Genomic DNA, 20,018 nt, shown 5'->3' on the forward strand with positions numbered 1-20,018 from the left:
GTTTGATAAATACAACCAGTGGGGGCTTTCTCAGTGCGGTTCTGCAAATTGCAAACACAACATCTAAGTGTTTGCTCTTCCTTTCTTACTGTAGTTTAAATACCAAGAAACATTTCCCTAAAAGAATTTTAACCTCTAAGACTGCAGATGCTCCCACACTGGCATCTTCTAAGACCAGCTGATTGGGCCAACAGGGGTCCAGACCCAACCAGAGACAGGGGGATGGACAAGATGACCGCCCATACCCCCTGCACTTACCCCAAGGAGGTTCTCTCCAGCCAGGCATTTTAATTAATTTTAGTCCCTTTCAAGACCACAGTTATTATTGTAAAAACACCGATAATACTAAACACATGTGGAAAGCACAGCGCCGGCTGCAGCCCTGGAGACCTGGGGACGTGCTAAGTCATATGTCATCTGGGGTGGTGAGAAATCAGCAGGCCCCCTCCCCCTGCCCTCTGAGACCCCAACACCCTTCTCAGTAGGACTGCTCTCCTTCTGTCACCAGCCAAGCCCCCTTCCTAGCTCAGCTTCCCCACCCCTACCAAAACTCAAGTACCCTTCCCTCCCCACAGAAACAGCCAAGGTGGGTGGGGTGGCAGGCCTCTGGAAATCCTGGTTTAATGATTTTATTAGGAAAGAGGCGGGAAGAAAAGAAAAGGCACATTCTCTCATTTTGGAAGAATGCTTCATTATCTGCCTTTGCAGAGTGTGAAACACCTCACTGGGCTCTAACCAGCCCTGAATTATTGAGTGAGATGCTCAGGTGTCAGGCTTTCCTCTCCCCCATCCCCCTGGGCCACCCCACTGGTTGCTGGAGGGTGTCTCAATTCCACCTTCAGGTGAAGGCTGGGAAAATCCAACAGCTACAGAGCTGCATGGGCATTGTCCTCCCAGAACCATGACCTCTTTCGGGAGCTATTGCCTGAAAACAGTCCCCTTGGCATGTGTCTAGTTCCATCTTCACTTGTGTAAGACCATTTCTCCTGCATTCTTGGCCTCACATCTGATTCCCAGGTGCCTTTTGCCTCGTGAAACACCTCACTCCTATTTTAGAGGTTAGAAAGTTCCTTCTTAGCCAAAACGGAGCTAAAGACGCTGACATTTGGGTAGTTCTCTGTGACTGATTGAGAAGTATGAAAAATCTTCCACTTCCACAGCCCTGCTTGTTTTCATTCCTTGAAGATGACAGAGTAGATATTGTTATTCCCATTTTACAGATGGAAAAGGCAAAATGCAGAGGGGTTAAGTGGCCCTTCCAATGGCACACAGCAATTACAAAGCAGAGATGGAGGGAACACGGGGCTCCTCAACAACAGTCTCCCTGTAACTGTGGACTGATCTGCCCCATGCCAGATAATCCCCAGCCTCTTTTAAGAGTGCCGTTTACGGACATTCTCTCCAAACCCCGGGGTTCCCGTGGCCCCTGGAACAGACAGGAAGGTCTGGTTGCTGTGTTCCAGATCACAGCCTCCATCTTCAGTTTCCATAACACCAGCTTCAGTGTTGGTCCCTCCCCAGGGTCAGATACCACCTCTCTCACTGGGTCCTCCCCTGGCTCCACCTCTCCATATGAACATCTAGCCTCTTCCTGCCACCACTCTTCCCTGCAAGAATCCCTGCAGTCACATACACCCCCCACCCTAAACTAGGCATGGAAGTTCAGGCCAAACTAGGAATTCATCATCTACGGAAAAAAGAAAAAAAAAATCTTATTTCTGCCCCAGTTGTGGGGAGCTTGGACAGTGCGGCAGCTCACCTTCCAAAGACCTAAGTGACAAGTTTCTTGAGGACAGCCCCTTAAGCAGAGAAAAACAAAAATCCAAAAAAAAAAAAAATGAACACATATTGACACTGTTGTATGTTGTATGATAAACTCATTTAATCATCACAAAGACTCCACGAAGCAGGTGCTGGTATTATAACCTTTTCATATATAGGGAAACTGAGGCACAGAGCAGCCAAGTAACTTGCTCAAGGTCATATAACTAGCAAGTGAGGGAGGTCTGATTAGACCATTGAAAACAAAACCAAAAACTATCACTGGAGGGGGTGTTTAGGGAGGGGTTATAACTGCCCAGTAGTAGCCATTTTCCCAATAATCTTTCCAGGAGGATAAAATCACCATTCTACTCTCTTTAGTGCCCAGTAGTTGTGAGACCAAGGCAGTATCTCAGTGGATTAGCTGGGCACGGTGGCTCACGCCTGTAATCCCAGCACTTTGGGAGGCCAAGATGGGTGGATCACAAGTCAGGAGATCGAGACCATCCTGGCTAACACCGTGAAACCTCGTCTCTACCAAAAATACAAAAAAATTAGCCGGGCGTGGTGGCGAGTGCCTGTAGTCTCAGCTACTCGGGAGGCTGAGAGAGGAGAATGGCATGAACCCAGGAGGCGGAGCTTGCAGTGAGCCGAGGTCACACCACTGCACTCCAGCCTGGGCAACAGAGCAAGACTCTGTCTCAAAAAAAAAAAAAAAGTCTGCCACATATATAATTAGTTTATATAATTAGTACTTAACTATCCATCTTCCTTGGGTTTTCTTTTCCACCACTGTATGAGAGTCATTCCTGCCAGCTGCCATGACAAAATCCCAGTGGTTTCACACAATAAAGGTTTATTTTTTCATTCTTGTCTCAGTCTAAGTGGCTATTTGGGAGGGAGCCTTCCAAGTGGGATTCCAAATGATTCAAGGTGCCCCGTTCCATCCATCTTGTCCTGTCAGACTCTCAGGAAAAGGGCAGCATGAAGCATCACTGGAAACAGAGTGGACCGGCTCTGCCCATATTCCATCAGCCAGAAGCTAGTCCAATGGTCCGAGCTAACCCCAGGAGAGGCTGGGGAATGCCGACTTCCAGCATGCCCAGGAAGAGAATATGCAATGCTGAGCATCCAGCTGGTCTCCACCAGACCAGTTAATCCACTTCAATGTCTCCAACTGCTCCTCCATGACATGCCCCCAGGGGTCATGCTTGTTCTCCCCAAACGTGATGCTCAGGAGGACTAAACCTACCCTCTAGACATGGCCTGCTCATGCCAGAAGACCCAGCAACATCACCTCCCTGGATCTGGACACCACATGTCTATGAAGACAGCCTACATATATTTTAGCATTTTTAGCAACAGTCACACTGTTGGATCGTATTATGCTTGTGGTCAACTAAAACTTCCAGATTTCTTTCTTGTGAACTGCTGCCAACGGAGGGCTCTCTAATCTAGTTCTTGTGCTTCTGAATTTGAAACCACATGAAACTGAACAACAGTTGTTGAAAGTCTTCCCTCTTGCTGGGTTTGGCTGGGCATTTGGGTCTGCAGAGATTATCAGGGATCCTGATGTTACATCCATCGTATCAGCTTCGCTCCTAGCCCAGTGGCATCTTTGGCCTTTCCAGATCTTTGGGCAAGTCACCGATACAGATTTAGACCAGGATGAAGGCTGATAGCACAACTACGATTTGAAATGAGCCTTTGATTGATACCTTGGGTATGGTTGTTTAGCCCTCTGGGAATCTGTCGAACAAGACCATTTACCAGCTCACATTTACTCTGTTAACCAGATGATAAAGTCAAGTAAAACCTCATTCATTTAGTGCTTACTCTTTGAAAGCATCTAATTTCCCCCAATATATCATTCTTGTTGAACTCAATATGCTATAAACCCTAACTAATCCATGGTCATAGCAACGTATCTGAAGTCATACAGTTTATTATTAACAGAACACAAGCTGGAATGTAGATGTCCTGAATCTCAATGCTTTCCCATCATCAAGAATCTAATGTGTGCACAGTGTACCAAGAGACCATGGCCTTGAAGCAGAAACTGGCCCCACTAAAGTGGCGCCATGTGGCTGTTAGCACCTCCTCTGAAATGCCCACATATTTTCCAGCTTGCAATTTGCCATTCACCAGTCCACTTCTTTGCCCCTCCAATTAGAAAGACAAGAAATATGACTGCAAAATATTGTGTTGGGAAAACTACCTGGAGTCATTCAGGCATGACTCACGTCACATGCGCGTTCATGTTCATCTTGTACTTGGGGAAAGGCCTCCTGGGGACCCTCATGACAACCATCAAACCCCACCTCCACATGCTCCGGAGGTCAAACTCAGTGAGGAGGGCTGGTGTGAATTGGTAAAACCCTTAGCTACAGAAAGCTATGGAAGAGAGGGATGTCTGTTTGATTTCCAAGTACGCAGTACCTCGGCTGAGAGAGCGTGGCCAAGAAGAGGTTCTGTGGGATCTGATAAGAATCCACCCTAATTAACACGCTAATTGTTTCCAAGTAGATGTTTCTAAGGGCTTGAAGAGCTTGTTTGCTTGAGTAGACCAAAAACCTCCCCCTCTCCATTAAATATTGTTTACATCGTTAGTTCCCTGGACAAACTGTTTTATCACAAAAAAAATAAAGGTGAACCTAAGACAGGGTGAAATTATTCTGAATTCTTAATGAATGAAATCCTTGATAATTACAATCTTTTTTTAAAAAAAAAAATCTGAGCTTGCAGGATCTTACTTGGGTATAAGAGAAAATCATCCAAATTCAGGTCGTTTCTTTTTTCACACTCTAGAATCATATGTCTTTTGTTAATTTGCTTTTTAATGTGAATGTATTTATCCAGATAACTTTATACGTAGGAGTGAGGCACTGGGCTGTGTACCATTCATTCATTATCTCAGATGATCTTCACAACAATTATATGAACAGTGCGAGCAAATTAGCCCCATTTACAGATGGAGGAAGCGAGACTAAAGGGATCACACAGTGAACACTTGGTCTGGAAAAAACCAGCAATCAAACTCACGCCTCCGACTCCAGCAAGACTTATGGTCATATAGGCAGTGACTAAAGCCTATAGGTTTTTAAGGGCCCATGAAAACATTTGAACCCTTTAAAACAAAAACAGAAACAAAAACAAAACAAAGGACTGACTCCAGGACATAAAGAACTACACAAGCCTGTAATCCTAGCACTTTGGGAGGCCAAGGTGGGCAGATAGCCTGAGCTCAGAAGGTCAAGACCAGTGTGGGCAACATGGCAAAACCCTGTCCCTACTAAAAATACAAAAAAATTAGCAGGGCTTGGTGGCACACACCTGTAGTCCTAGCTACTCGGGAGGCTGAGGCATGAGAATCGCTTGAACCTGGGAGGCGGAGGTTGCAGTGAGCTGAGATCACACCACTGCACTCCAGACCCGGCAACAGAGTGAGACTGTCTCAAAAAAAAAAAAAAAAAAAAACCTACAAAACCTATTTCACCAAATATTTAGTTAAATATTTACAAAATAACACTGTTAACTAGCCAATGGTAATTTAACTCAATCCTCAAGTAGTTACCAGTGAATATAAAATTTCAATTAAGAATACAGTTGGCCCTCCCTATCTGTGGTATGAGTTTGGTAGAATCTGAAGATACAGAACTCATGGATAGAGAAGGCCAACTGTAGCTATTTTTTCTTAAATCTCAAAGTTACAAAAATTATGAAGACTCCCTCATTTCTGCATCCCCATAAGATGAAATTTTTAAAAATTTCATCTTATGATGAAATTTATGATGGGTATATTTTAATGCTTTTGATAAAATGAAGGGTGAGCCCTCCAAAAATAAGAAAACTTTGGAGCTACTCCTTTCTTTTCTTTCTTTCTTTCTTTCTCTCTCTCTCTCTTTTCTTTCTTTCCTTCCTTCCTTTCTTTCTTTCTTTCTTTCTTTCGTTTTTCTTTCTTTCTTTTTTTAAGATGGAGTCTCACTCTGTCACCCAGGCTGGAGTGCAGTGGCACAATCTCGGCATACTGCAACCTCTGCCTCCTGGGTTCAAGTGATTCTCCTGCCTCAGCCTCCCTAGTAGCTGGGACTACAGGCACACGCCACCATGCCTGGCTAATTTTTGTATTTTCAGTAGAGACGGGGTTTTACAATGTTGGCCAGGCTGGTCTCGAACTCCTGACCTCAGGTGATCCGCCTGCCTCTGCCTCCCAAAGTGGGGGCTACTCATTTCCGAAAATGAGTTTGGACAAAATGGATCCTTACAAGCCTTGCCTTACAAGCCCTCTGCTTCACTACATTTTGTGTTCAAGTTCGTATTTCTTAATCCCTGCAATGGAACATAGGCCTGTTGTTTTCCGTAACTTTTCCATTAACTTACCCATCAACCTTTTCTGTATCTTTGCTTATAGTGGACACTCAAGTTAAATGTATAAAACAAGATTTCTTTTATAAATAGTTGACCGTGCTCTAAAATTAAGGAATTAGGATAAGTCAGAGAGCCCTGGAGAGACACGCCATTGGCTTATGTGGTGTTTCATGATGAGCGGGGTTAGGACGGAACAAGCTAGGAAATGGACTTTGTCACAGGTAAAACTAGAAATTGGCCCAGCTCAAAGGGACCAGATTGCCCCTGGAAGTATGGAGCAGGCTTTTTCCAGGAGGAGCTGGAAGGGTCAGTAGCACAGTTTGCCAAACTTCACATGTCCCCACTTTCTGCAGAGAAACCACATGTGGTGTTGATGATCACCGGAGCCCTGGCGTCCAGAAGGCAGTATCTAGGTCAGAAGTTTTGGGTATCGGCCTGGCTGTCAGGAGACTCTCTACCTCTCATGAGGCCTTCTGTCTTTATCAGAAGATAAAACAAATAAGCGAAAACAACTTCCTTTTTTTAATTTTTTTATTTTTTTGAGACGGAGTCTTTCTCTGTCACCCAGGCTGGTGGGATCTCAGCTCACTGCAACCTTCGCCTCCTGGGTTCAAGCGATTCTCCTGCCTCAGCCTCCAGAGTAGCTGGGATTACAGGTGCCCACCACCACGCCCAGCTAATTTTTAGTATTTTTAGTAGAGACAGGGTTTCACCAAGTTGGCCAGGCTGGTATTGAACTCCTGACCTCACATGATCCACCCGCCTTGGCCTTCCAAAGTGCTGGGATTACAGGCATGAGCCACCGCCCCAACATCTTGATTTAGAGAAGTTGCGGAGAACCCAGCTAAAGGGGGAAAGTGGGTTGTCTCAGGGTTGAGCTCATGTGAGCCCGGCTGAGCACCCCCTGAAACAAACACCAACAGCACCTGACATTTTTAGAGTATTTTTCAGAAGACACTTTCAACTAGATCTCACCTGACTTGATTGTCATTCTGATTCTGGAAGCTACATGAGGCAGAATACTTTAATTGCAGTAAATAAGTAAGGTTCATTGCAGCACTATTTACAATAGCAAAGACTTGGAACCAACCCAAATGCCCATCAAGGATAGACTGGATAAAGAAAATGTGGCAGATATACACCATGGCATACTATGCAGACATAAAAAAGGATGAGTTCATGTCCTTTGCAGGGACATGGATGAAGCTGGAAGCCATCATTCTCAGCAAACTAACACAAGAACAGAAAACCAAACACCGCATGTTCTTACTCATAAGTGGGAGTTGAATGATGAGAACACATGGACACAGGGAGGGGAACATCACACACCAGGGCCTGTCGGGGGTCGGGGGCAAGGGGAGGGAGAGCATTAGGACAAATACCTAATACATGCGGGGCTTAAAACCTGGATGATGGGTTGATAGGTGCAGCAAACCACCATGGCACATGTATAGCTATATAACAAACCTGTACATTCTGCACATGTATCCCAGAACTTAAAGTGAAATTAAAAAAAAAAATTTTAAAAACATAAAAAATAAGTGAGGTTCAAAAAAGTTAAGGAACTGCTTCAAAGCCACACAGCGAAGCAGGGGCAAGGCCTTCACTAGCCCCAGGCCTCTGAACCCAGGTCCTCTCTTGACTCCCCTGCAGGCTCTGGCTCTCCCACACTGTGGACTGAGCCTCGCAAGAGAGTTACCAGCTCACATCCTCCACTTCAGGATACAAAAAACCAGGGACCCAGGCCTGCTGGCAGGAGGCCCCAAATTGCCCAAGCTCTTGACTCCAAAATAGTGTTTGTATGTCTAAGACCTGGTAACTTAAACTATGCTTCTCATTTTTGCCCTTTAAAGTAGACCGGGAGGCTGAGTCATGGCTAGCTGAGTTGGAAGGTGTGGCCACCCACCCATCCGCTCCTCCCACCCACAACCAGTCCTGCCCTCCTGAGCTCCGGACAGGGTGGGCCAAGGGCTGTGTAGACAGACTAAGCCCCCTTCTCCCCTTCTCTCCAGACATAGAAACTGGGTCTTGGTGCTGCCATGCGGCTTCTGGACCCTCCCCCAGTTTGGGGCGTCTCAAGGAGGGGCGTCTCATGGAGGGGCATCCCGAAGTATCTCTTAGAGCCAGACTGTGGCATACTCTACCCACCGGACGCTTCCCAGCACAGGGAAGCCTCCCAGACACCTGAGACCCATGCAGCAAACACAGGACTCTGCCTGCTAGATGGGGAGCATCTTGAGGACATTCAGAGGACCTGGTTCATCTCTAAAATGCCGTGTCCACCGAGGTGACCGTTCACCATGACCTCTCCACATATCTATTCAGCAGACATTTGTCCATCCCCTCCCCCGACCCACATCATCCTCTCCCCACCAGCCAAGGGCTGTTTTTGGCACCTGGGACAGAGTCTGTGCCTTTAAGAAGCTCATGGTCTGGTGGGCTAGACAGTCAAGAAAACAATTACCATTCAAACTGATTCATACGATTAGGGAAAGCACAGGGTAAAACTGTAAACCCAGAGGGGGAAAAAAAGTAAAAGACACATAAAATCCAGCCTGGGTTTATATGTGTTTAACTCGTATAGCCCATCCACTCCTTCCACCCACAGCCATTCCTGCCCTCCTGAGTTCTAGCCAAACTAAGACCCCTCCGATCCACACATTAGAAAGGAGGTGATGTGGGAACAGAATCTTAAAACCTGGCTCACATCCTGTGTCCAACCGGGGCTCTGCTGGGTCAGTTTGGGTCAGCCCAAGGGACAGAAACTCTTGTCCAAGTTCATTAGGTGCAGTAGGAGTACTACAAGGCTCCTAGGAGTACTACAAGGGCCTCCAGAGACCCCATTCCCAAGTAAGTGGCTTTCTCCTGGGGCTGGGGGTGTGGGTAGGGGTGAAGGTTTCCCTAGAACCAGTGAGCAGGGAGAATTCTGATGAGAGTCTTCCTCACTGAAGGCAAGGTGATGGCTGGAAGGGTGAACCCCAGAGGCAGGCCGCTCGGGACACAGTGGCCTTCAGCGGGCAGGGGCATGAGGACAAGCAAGTAAGCCACCAAAGGGCAGCTCTCCAGGCCTGCAAAGAGCGAGATGCCGACTCGGCTTGGCGACCTTCCCAGGGGATGAGACAGTGCAAACCTCAAGGCCTGTGGTGTTATTCCAGACGCCAGGCTGAGCTTCCCTCCACCATCACATTAAGGCTCAGCTGTGCCCAGAGAATGTGTCTGCACACGGCGAAGGGCCACCTCCCAGCCCCAGCCAGCCACCCAGGAGCAACAGGCTTGACTTTCAACCTGATCCTGTGACTAAATGCAGGCCCAGGCCAGACTTCTCCCAGGGGAAGACCAGACATAACTTGGTCACTTGGCTCCAAAGGAGTCCTGTGGAATACGGTCTTATGAAAGAGGGTCTGTGATAACCGCCTGGGGGTGCGTGGATGCAAAGCACAGAATTTCTTGGTGGGAGCGGGAGGATCTGCAGGACATGAGACAATTTACTCCTTGCTTGTTACATGTGGCAGATGCTTTACCAGGTACTTCCCATGGTTTAGTTCAGATCCTCTGAATCACACTGAAAAGTATGATTTGTTCTCAGTTTTCAGATGGAGGAAACGAGACCTGGAGAGGCTCAGTCACCTGCCTAAGGCCACCCAGCCCAAGTGATAGCACTGAGTTCAGAGGCTGGTGTGTCTGACCCCAGCATCCCTGCTCTCCTGAGACATAATCTGGCCTGAATGAAAGCACCTCTTCCAACTTACTCCATTTCAATTAGATAGAAAAGCTTTTCCAGCCAGGAACAGTGGCTCATGCCTGTAATCCCAGCACTTTGGGAGGCCAAGGCAGGCAGATCACGAGGTCAAGAGATCGAGAACATCCTGGCCAACATGGTAAAACCCCATCTCTAGTAAAAATACAAAAATTAGCTGGGTGTGGTGGCACACACCTGTAGTCCCAGCTACTTGGGAGGCTGAGGCAGAAGAATTGCTTGAACCTGGGAGGTGAAGGTTGCAGTGAGCTGAGATAGTGCCACTGCACTCCAGTCTGGCAACACAGTGAGACTCTGTCTCAAAAAAAAAAAAAAGAAAGAAAAGAAAAGAAAAAGAAAAAAAAGGAAAGCTTTTCCAATTATCCTAGGGACAGAGCTTGAGAGAGGACAGGGACAGGAAGCTGAGAGCTGGGACAAGGCTCTTCAATGCAGTCAGTTCAGCTCAGCCATGGGACACCATGCTTGGGGTATGGGGAGGATGATGGAGGGCCCACAAGAAGAAGAAAGTGGTACCTGGAGAGTGGGCTCCTGATATGGTTTGGCTCTGTGTCCCCACCCAAATCTCATCTTGAGTTGTAATTTCCAGGTGTTGAGGGAGATACCTGGTTCAAGGTGATTGAATCACAGGGGTGGTTTCCCCTGTACTGTTCTTGTGATAGTGACTTCTTACAAGAGCTGATGGTTTTAAAAGGGGCTCTTCCCCCCTCACTCTCTTCTCTCTCCTGCTGCCATGTAAAGAAGGTCCTTGCTTCCCCTTCCGCCATGACTGTAAGTTTCCTGAGGCCTCCCCAGCCATGTGGAACGGTGAGTCAATTAAACCTCTTTCCTTTATAAATTACCCAGTCTCAGGTATTTCTTTATAGCAGTGTGAAAATAAACTAATACAGCTCCCTATCTCAGCCAGCTGTCTTCACCAGAACCTCCTTTCTGAGATGCAGAGAGGACCTCCCAGGGGGCAGGCACCTTTGTGCACCCAACTAAAGCCTCTGGCCCCCAGGTTCCATATCCCACATCCTGCCAGCTCCTGGGAGCCAGGCAGCAGCCTCTCCACCCCCCTTGGAGGTGGCTGGGAACACTGGTGCCTGGCTCAGGGAGGCTCCTGGAAGCCCTGGTTATGGCTCACTGCACTCAGCCGTCGGATTAAAGGGGCTCAGAGTGAGGACAGCCTGCACGGCTGGGCCTGCTGGGCTCCCCTGGAGCAAAGCCAGGCAGCCCTTCCTTCCTCTGGGCTGGCCGGTGGGGCACCAGGCAGCTTGAAGGAGCTGTGGACAGAAAACAGAAGCTGAGTTGGCCTCAACCTTTCCATCCAGCTGCCACATAGGGCAGGGCTCCTCGGGAGCTGGAGGTGGCCTTTCCCAGGGGTTGGAGCCCCTGGATGGGGTGTTCTGGCCCAGCCCACTGGGGTGTTGCCCTGCTTGGCGGACAGCGTCCCACCCGGGTCTTGTTTAGAGTGAATCACTTGGAAAGAGACCTGTAACTGTATCCTGCAGGAAATCACAGGCTGGAAGCCAGAAAGAAACCAGGTCAAGCTTCATGGAATCAGGCCACCAGGAAGAAAGGCAAGGAGCCCAACATTTATGGAGTGTCTTCTCCATGCTGGGCACACTCAGCAAATGCAATGTGGCCCTTGTCCAGGGAGGTCGGGCTGAACCTCGTTTTGCAAATGGACCAAGACGATAAGTGATTTGGGGGCGGTTTAAATAAGCAGCAGGTGGCATAGCTGGGATGCAAACCCAGGTGTGCCTCACTCAAAGATCGATCAGTACACCACCAGTCACACCCAAGTCCACCCATTAATAATGCGGAGGTGGCCTCTCCTCACCGGCACCCTCCTCCAAACCCCAACTTAGGAGCATAGCAGCAGAGAGCATGGAAGCTCTTGGAGGCCCCTCGCTATATAAGGTGGTGTAGTCTGGGGGTCAAAAGCATGCAACCCAGCTTTGAGTCCTGTCTCTGCACCTATGAGCTGTGTGACACTGGGCAAGTGTCTGAAATGAGGGATTCTGCATAATGTTTAGGAACATAGCAAGTGTTTCGCATATTTAGCTATTATTATTATCATCAGTATGGATATTGAATCTCAAAGACCCAGCTGGTGGCACCAGGCCTTCCCTTACCAAATCCCCTCCCTCTAAACCCCAACCAAGGAGCAGGTTTCCCAGCAGGTTGCAGATCCCTCAGGACAGCTCTGCAGAGGGAGTGAGACCAGCAAGAGAGGAGGGGCTCAGTGATTGAAAATAAACACTCCTCAGCAGACCACCCACTTCATCTCCCACCCCTCCCACTGTGAGCGGAGCAGCGGGGAGAGAACACAGATTCCTCCACCTAAGTTGAGTCAAGGCAAGCATGTTTCTCTTTTTCAGAGGAGAGGAGACCACGTGAAGTCAAACACAAGCACCCCAAACTACCTCCTTGCCCCATCTCTCAGGTGCAGCCCCACCTGATGCACCTGGGGAGGAGTTAAGAGCTGGGAAACAGATCATCACAGGCTGGGAAGCCAGAGGTGGGCACGGAGCACACAGAGGGGTTCTCCATGCAAAGACACATGCACACTCCTGTCCAATGGCTCCTCAGCTCAAATGCCCTGGCCTGTGGGTGAACCACGCCACCATCTGAACTTCCCCCCAGGACAGGGCCCACATGGCCTGGGGGACTCTAAAAAAGAACTTGGCATCAGATCCTCTTCAGGTCCCTAGAGACTGGACCCTTCTTATAGCTCCTGCCTGCGTCGCACCCAGACCATCTTGGGATGTTGAAAGTCCACTGTATTTGGAAAGACAACAGCACCTTTTCCTCTTTAATCCCCCACTGGCCTCGGTCAGAATGCAGAGTTTTTGCAGGTCTCTCAGTTTTTGTTTTGTTTTTGTTTTTGTTTTGAGATGGAGTCTTGCTCTGTCGCCCAGGCCAAAGTGCAGAGGTGCGATCTCGGCTCACTGCAATCTCTGCCTCCCAGGTTCGAGCAATTCTCCTGCCTCAGCCTCCCGAGTAGCTGGGATTACAGGCACGAATCACCACACCTGGCTTATTTTTGTATTTTTAGTAGAGACAGGGTTTCACCATGTTGGCCAGGCTGGTCTCGAACTCCTGACTTCAGGTGATCCGCCTACCTTGGCCTCCTAAAGTGCTGGGATTACAGGCGTGAGCCACCGTGCCCAGCTAGGTATCTCAGTTTTAATACTGAACCCACTCTCCCTCCATGGAAGCGTCTGTCTGCGTACTCTGAAGACCCCATGTTGCAGCCATGATTCCTGCCCCCTCTTAGATGTTCGTAACACGGTGGTCTCGGAACACCCCCTCTCCAGCAGCTCCCAACCAACACCCATGGGTGCCATCCAGGCAGCAAGCTCCACTCAAGCTGGGGCTCACCAGAACGAGTTTGCATCCAATTCTCAAGCCTCAACTCTTCAGCTTTGTTTCCACCCTTCACCACTCCCCACAGCATGCAAATAATACCGCATTTTATATGGAAAACACTAAAATAAGATCACACCTTTTAAAAGATATTTCCACCTCGCAGCCTGAAATCAGACTTCACCTTTCTCCCATTCCTCACAACCACCAGGCCAGCCCCCTCCCCTCACACACGCGCATGCACACACACACACGCACTCACACACTCACACACACCCGTTTCACTACCAGACTTCCCTAAGCCACTTTAATTGAAAAGGCATGATTTAGACTAATTGACAGCAGATGGGTTCGGTTGCAAAATGCAGAGAAGCATTTGTTGAACATGATTTACAGCAACGAGGCAAAACTTTCTCCTTTTTATATCTTTCTCTGAGCTCCATGGCCAGAACAGCTCAGCAGAAATGAGAGGAGAAAAAAAAGTAATTAGTGTTTAATTTTTTAACAATTTTTAACTCCCTTTTTAATTGCTTTACATAAACCTGTCCTAGAATTTTACAGCCTTCAAATCTCTGTCTAAGTCTGGTCCTTGTTTCTGGTTTTAATTACAGGGAGGCTTGTCTGGCACATTAAATTAGAAGAAAAAAAAAAGCACACACAATTTCAGAACTATTTTGCTGTTGGACTCTCGACTGAACATCTAATATTTCAGCGTGCGAATGGGAAGGCACTGCCCGGGAGGGCTTTGGTAGGAGCAGACGTGGACCCAAGGGCTTCTGCAGCATTGTTGCATCGACCCAAAACTGTCTCTTAATGTTACGAGGAGGGAAAGAGCAGTCAGGATACAGTATCTGATGGGCCGTAGTGGCCCCTGGATGCTCAGCACTGCTTTGAATGCAGCTAGTTTCCTAGAACGGCTGTGTGCAGACTTTTGCAGGCTTTGGTCAGGCTGTAAGCTCTTATTTTTAAGCCAGGCCATCGATCTCATGCTCACTTCTCAGCAGTCCCTTTTAAGCAGGATAGTAACCAGAAAGAAGCACTGTGTGGAGAATACCAAGCGGATGGGTCTCCCCAGTGCAGGGTTCGTACGAGGGGAGAGTCAGGGCAGCAGATTCAGGGCACACGATGGAGGACCAGGTGGCCATCTGCATCTGAGTCTGCATCTTCCTTGCAGGGAGAGAGGGCTTGCACCTGGACTTGTATGAACCAATGGAATCTTCTGTGCTGTCCAACATGGTAGCCACCAGCATATATGTGGCTATTTAAATGTACATGAATGAATATTCAATACAATTTTGAATTATCTTGCTCGGTTGCATGAGCCACATTTCAACAGCTCAATAGCCTCAGGAGGCTAGTGGCGACGTAACATATCCAATAGCACAGATATGAGACATTTCCATCACCAAGGAAAGTTCTATTGGACAGGGATGCCCTAGACCCTTGCTATTGAAAGTGTGTTCTGTGGCTAGGCCCTCTGCATCCCCCAGGAGCTGGTTAGAAATGCAAGATCACAGGCCTCACCCAGGCTTACTGACTCAGAATCTGCATGGTAACAAGACCCCCAGTGATCCAAGTACACATTATAGCGTATGTCCCGCTAGCTCGTGAGGATGAAAGTCTCAGAAGCTCCCCCACCCCGTAGCCTAGAATAACCTTTCCAACTTGCAGATTGCATATGACCCTCTGGGTTGGGGATTATGGTCAATTTCTCCTTTTTCAGCTTGTTTGTGTCTTCTGGATTTCTGCAGTTACCTTTACTTCCTCAAAAAAGAAAGCCTGGCCAGGCAGAGTGGCTCATGCCTGTAATCCCAGCACTTTGGGAGGCCAAGGCAGGAGGATCCTTGAAGGCCAGGAGTTCGAGACCAGCCTGGGAAACATAGCAAGAACCCCCTTCTCGCCAAAAAAGAGTTTTGAAAACTAGCCAGGTGTGGTGGTGTGTGCCTGTTGTCCCAGCTACTCGGGAGACTGAGGCAGGAGGATCATCACTTGAGCCCAGGAGGTTGAGGCTGCAGTCAACTATAATCGTGCCACTGCACTCCAGCCTGGGGAACGAAGCAAGACCTTGAAAAGAGAGAAAGAGAGAGGAAGGAAGGAAGGAAGGAAGGAAGGAAGGAAGGAAGGAAGGAAGGAAAGAAGGAAAGAAAGGGAGGGAGGGAAGCCAGCCTAAGAAAGTTATTTTACTAATACCATGGTTTTGTAAAACTTTGTTCTACCGGTAATACAAACTCCCTGTCTGCAGTCAATGCAAGGGCTGGCATCCATGCCACGGACACAGGAACCTGCTGGAAGCCGGCAGGGGAAGAAAGGTCACATCCCTGAAGCAGCAGCTGCCTGGGGCCTGGAGCAGGGCAACGGGGCGTGGATTCTCTTAAAGGTGAGTGTGCAGGCAGGGGGAGGGCGGAAAGATGGGGGCAAGGGGTGGTGTGTCATAAAATGTCCTGAGGACATAAACTTTGCAGGGCCCAGCCCCCCACTCGCTGCTTGCGTTCATTAGCACGGAGGCCGCAGACCCCCTCGGCAGACCCTGCCTATGCCTGCCCTGGGCTCCTGGAGGACTCCTGCTGGGGGCCGGAGGGCTGCCTGGCGCCGCTGGGCGAGCAACTTCAGGGATGGAGCCAGGCCAGCGCCGGCTCCCCACACATGGTCATTACCTCCCGAAAACCCAGGAGTTATTACAATTAAAACACGTTGCAGGGGGGAGTGAGGGCTGGGGGAGGTCCCTTTAGGAAGGAACACTGGGATTAGAAGAAATTAGAGCAGTTGTCTTGGCAACGCAGCCAGGCTGGGCCTACCCTGTGATTATTTCAATGGGAACAGCAGGATGGGGGCTGAGTGGGGCTGGGATAGGGGGTGCTGGAGACCCATGTACCCAGCTGCATGGGTGAGAGCTGTGCTCTGCTCTCAGAATGGGACTCAGCAGCCAGGGAAAACGCTCCCCAGGGTGATTCCTGCCGGCTGTCCTGTTCTCTGTAATTGCTACTTATCCCGTGAAACACTGAGTAGATGGCCCTCTGTCCTCCAGGGAGTTCAAACCCCAGACCTCTGTGATCCTTTTCTTTTTAAAACAGAACTCTCCCAAGAGGGCCCCCGCTCTCCCGGCTTCATGGGTGGAAATGGCCCGGCCTGGTTTCCTATCAGTTCAACTCTGGCCGTTCAGAGCCGCAGGTCAAACCCAACCATCCCTTTTTCTAGGTGGCCTCGAAGCAAGGTGGAATAGAAAGCACAAGAGGTGTGCATGGCGGGAGAGGCAGGAGAGCTGGGGGAGTGAAAACGTTTTGGAAGTAGGCCCATGATAATGAGCAAGATGGAATCTGTGCCTGGGACACCTCCAGGCACCAGCACGGGATTGGGGTCTCTACGGAATGGGAATCCCGGTCTGGCAGAGCTACAGGGCCTGCGAAAGAGAAAACAGTAATTAGTTCTCCATCTTTCTGCTTGTCTCAGCAGCCCCGAGCATGTTTGGCAGACGGGCGAGGAGAACCTGTTTGGAAACCACTGGGGGAGAAGAGGATGGGGTGAGGGGGGAAGGGACAGGAGGAAGAAGAATCCAGTCTCCAAGCTTCCGGGGGTAGTTCTTGGCAAATTCCCACATCCCCAGTCTCATTTCCTCTGGAACTACCTTAGGGAGTCTAATAGCAGAGAGAGGCCTAGAAACACCAGACCCAGTACACCAGAAGTTTCAGGTGTACCAGGTGAGCGTTCCATGTGGAAGGTTAACTGGACCGGAGGCAAGGCCCCCTCAGAACCCAAAGCTGGAGATCTCTGAGCTGCCTAAGCCCAGCCAGGAGATGACATTTAGGAACATTCTCTTCCTAGCCTCCCCGTCCCTTTTGAAAACTGATGATTTCCAACCTCAGGTAGCCACTGTCGGTTGTTTGGGGCCTTCAGGAGAGCTTTTCCTATTTGTATGTGCAAGGTCTGAGGTGTTCTGATGGAAAACACATGTTCTTAGAATTTGGCCTAAGTACAAGACTTAGCCACTGATTCCACGTGACCTTCAGCAACTCATTCAACATCTGTTTCCTTATCTATAAAAGTATCATCTAATTTACAGTGTCATCATGAAGGCTTGAAATAATGGACTTAAAATGCCTAGCTTTAGGGTAACAAGTCTTCCCCATTTGTCTAGGTCGGACGGGTTCCCAGGACTTTCAGGTTTAATGTCAGGCAGTCCCAGGTGAACGGGACAAGGTGGCCACCCTACCAACTACTGAGTATGCATGAAGTGGTGGGGGCGGGGGGCAGCTATTTTATGTTGGGGTCTTACTCCTTTGTAAAATTCTTGACACATTCTGTGTATATAAGTGCAAAAAGTATATATACATACACACATCCATATACATGAACTTTCCAGAGATAAACTGGGAGGCAATTATTCGCATTTCAAAAAAAAAAAAAAAACCTCCACCTGGCAAAATGATAAAATCCAGCATCCTTCTGTACAAGATTGAGGCAGAGAAAGAGACTGTGTGTGATGGAAAATTCAGAGATAATAAGCTGATGGATTGGAAAGCAATGAGAAATCATTTCTGAGAGCCTTTCATTTCTGGGGGAAACCCCAGCACTTTCAGAAGATTCTCTGTGCCCAGCTTTGCTGGACTCTCTCTAGCTACAGAGCCCAGTGCACCTATAGCATGGCTCCTTCGTGCATTGGCAGGAGATCACCAGCAGCCATTGGTCTGGGGAAGTGCTGTCAGGCTGGGGGTCAGAGGAGAGGGTCAAAAGCCTCCATGATGTGCTCCAAGTTCTAACTTGGCATTGCTTTTCATCACAGGAGAACTCTGTTTATTTTATTTTATTTTTTTTTTGAGACAGAGTTTCACTCTTGTTGCCCAGGCTAGAGTGCAATGGCGCGATTTTGGCTCACTGCAACCTCTGCCACCTGGGTTCAAGCGATTCTCCTGCCTCAGCCTCCCAAGTAGCTGGGATTACAGGCACGTGCCACCACACCCGGCTAATTTTGTATTTTTAGTAGAAACAGGGTTTCCCCATGTTGGTCAGGCTGGTCTCAAACTCTCAACCTCAAGTGATCTGCCCGCCTTGGCCTCCCAAAGTGCTGGGATTACAAGTGTGAGCCACCGCACCTGGCCCTCCGTTTATTTTTCTACCTTCCCCTTGGTTCAGAGGGTTCAGGCTGCCCAGCTTTTATCAACTCTAAAAAAGCTTCAGGTGGGGAGTTCGTGCACCAATCAAAAACACCAGCATCACATCATCTTGCTGGAGTTTTTTGTCGTTGTTGTTGTTTTTAACCACCTAGTTCTTGGAACAACAGGTGAGAGAGAATAGGAGGGAAAGGAAGATGATAAAAAGATCGCAATACCCTCCCCATTCCCCCAGCTTCAAAACTCAGAGGCGACGGCTGAATAATGCAGGCAGCTTGGTCTGGTGGGGGATCTTCAGAAGCAATGGAATCACGTGGAGCAGGCCAAGCTGAGACCCTAACCCGGCTCCACCACAACCCACCTCAGCCTGGGCTCCAGGGTCTGCAGGTGCAAGCCACCAGCTGAGCAAGGGGTAAGGGGAGGTGCAATGAGGGCCTTCTGGCTGTCCTCCCCTCTTTTGTCCTCCCCTCCCCACCACCACCTGATGCTTTCAGGTGAAACCTGAGCCATGTGGCTACAACCACAATCAGTTTAATGAGCTTCATTCACTCCCAGTCTAAATCGGGAAGAAAAAAGGCCCCGCTGGAAACACATCCTGTCTCCTCCTCGGTGAGGTGACAGTGGGGCCGGGCACAGCAAGGGGGAAGGATATTAGAAGGTGCTGAAAAGGGAGAGCTCTCCCTTCTCCCCATTGGAGGGATCAAAGCCTTTATTTAATGTGGCCAGAGCAGATCACAGAGCCTCCAGGAGTGCTGGCTCCTCCCTGGCATCCCAGCCTCCCTGAGGCTCATAGGCTCACGTGGTCCCAGATTCCAGCAGGCCAGCCCCATGGAGGCTAAGATTGCATCCTAGGGAGCAAACGGTGGCTGCCGGAAGTAGCCCAACCTTGCCAGACCACATAAGGCTGGAGACACAGGCAGCAGGATGGTGTGTTGAGGGGGTGGGGAGGGGCTTGGCAGTGATGCCTGGGTTTATTTCTTGGATTGTTATTTTGGTGAGAGGTGCCCTCAACATCTTGGATAACTAAGGCTGGGTCCTGCATGGAAGAGAGAGCTGAACCAAAGGTTATGTGACCACACAATGTCCCCCCATCTCTATCCGAGCCTATTTCTGCCATCGCATTTACCAAACTACTTTGACATCCTCTCTTTCCTTGCCCCTCTTCTTCTCTCTCTTTCACCTCTTAGAAGGCAAGACTGAGCTTTTTTTCGTGCCTTTGTATCCCATGCAGACAGTAAGCACTAAATAAATGTTTGCTTACCTAAATAGATTCTTTACAGCTTTATCATGATCCATGTCTTGGGAGAGAATCTCCCTGGCCGACAGGCCAAATCCCAGGAGTCCAGACAGAGCCTCCAGGCCTCTTCCTACCTCTTGCCTCCACTTTTCTACACATTTCGCCAAAGGAGGCTGGGAACTCGCTCCACTACTGTGCCACACCAATTAACAACAACAACAAAAAACACAAGCCATAGAGGAGGAAAAGTAGCAAAGGAAAAAAAAAAAACAGACAAGGAGGAATGAAATGTGCATGTGTACACATATAATACGAGTTAGCCTATCCCAAAGCCCCCTGGACAGAAACCAAACAGGAAATCGAGAATCATTACCAAATGCACTTCCCCGGCTCGCCCAGCTCCTGGCCCCCAGGAGTGGGTCAAGGATGCGCAGACGCA

General features: G+C 48.9%; 3 annotated features.

Annotated features, from left to right (window-relative positions):
- Positions 15,763-16,339: an enhancer, noted in NCBI's record as "H3K27ac-H3K4me1 hESC enhancer chr17:70374994-70375570 (GRCh37/hg19 assembly coordinates)". NCBI's record gives its function as "activates a minimal SCP1, AML or CMV promoter by ChIP-STARR-seq in primed H9 embryonic stem cells {active_cell/tissue: H9 hESC(primed)}" and the evidence as "EXISTENCE:reporter gene assay evidence [ECO:0000049][PMID:30033119]".
- Positions 17,853-17,902: a silencer, noted in NCBI's record as "silent region_8914". NCBI's record gives its function as "represses an Ori minimal core promoter by ATAC-STARR-seq in GM12878 lymphoblastoid cells {active_cell/tissue: GM12878}" and the evidence as "EXISTENCE:reporter gene assay evidence [ECO:0000049][PMID:35858748]".
- Positions 18,698-18,992: a silencer, noted in NCBI's record as "tiled region #1101; HepG2 Repressive non-DNase unmatched - State 17:Gen3'". NCBI's record gives its function as "represses a minimal TATA promoter and a strong SV40 promoter by Sharpr-MPRA in HepG2 cells {active_cell/tissue: HepG2}" and the evidence as "EXISTENCE:reporter gene assay evidence [ECO:0000049][PMID:27701403]".

Source organism: Homo sapiens, chromosome 17, assembly GCF_000001405.40.
Source record: "Homo sapiens chromosome 17, GRCh38.p14 Primary Assembly".
Classification (NCBI taxonomy): Eukaryota; Metazoa; Chordata; class Mammalia; order Primates; family Hominidae; genus Homo; species Homo sapiens.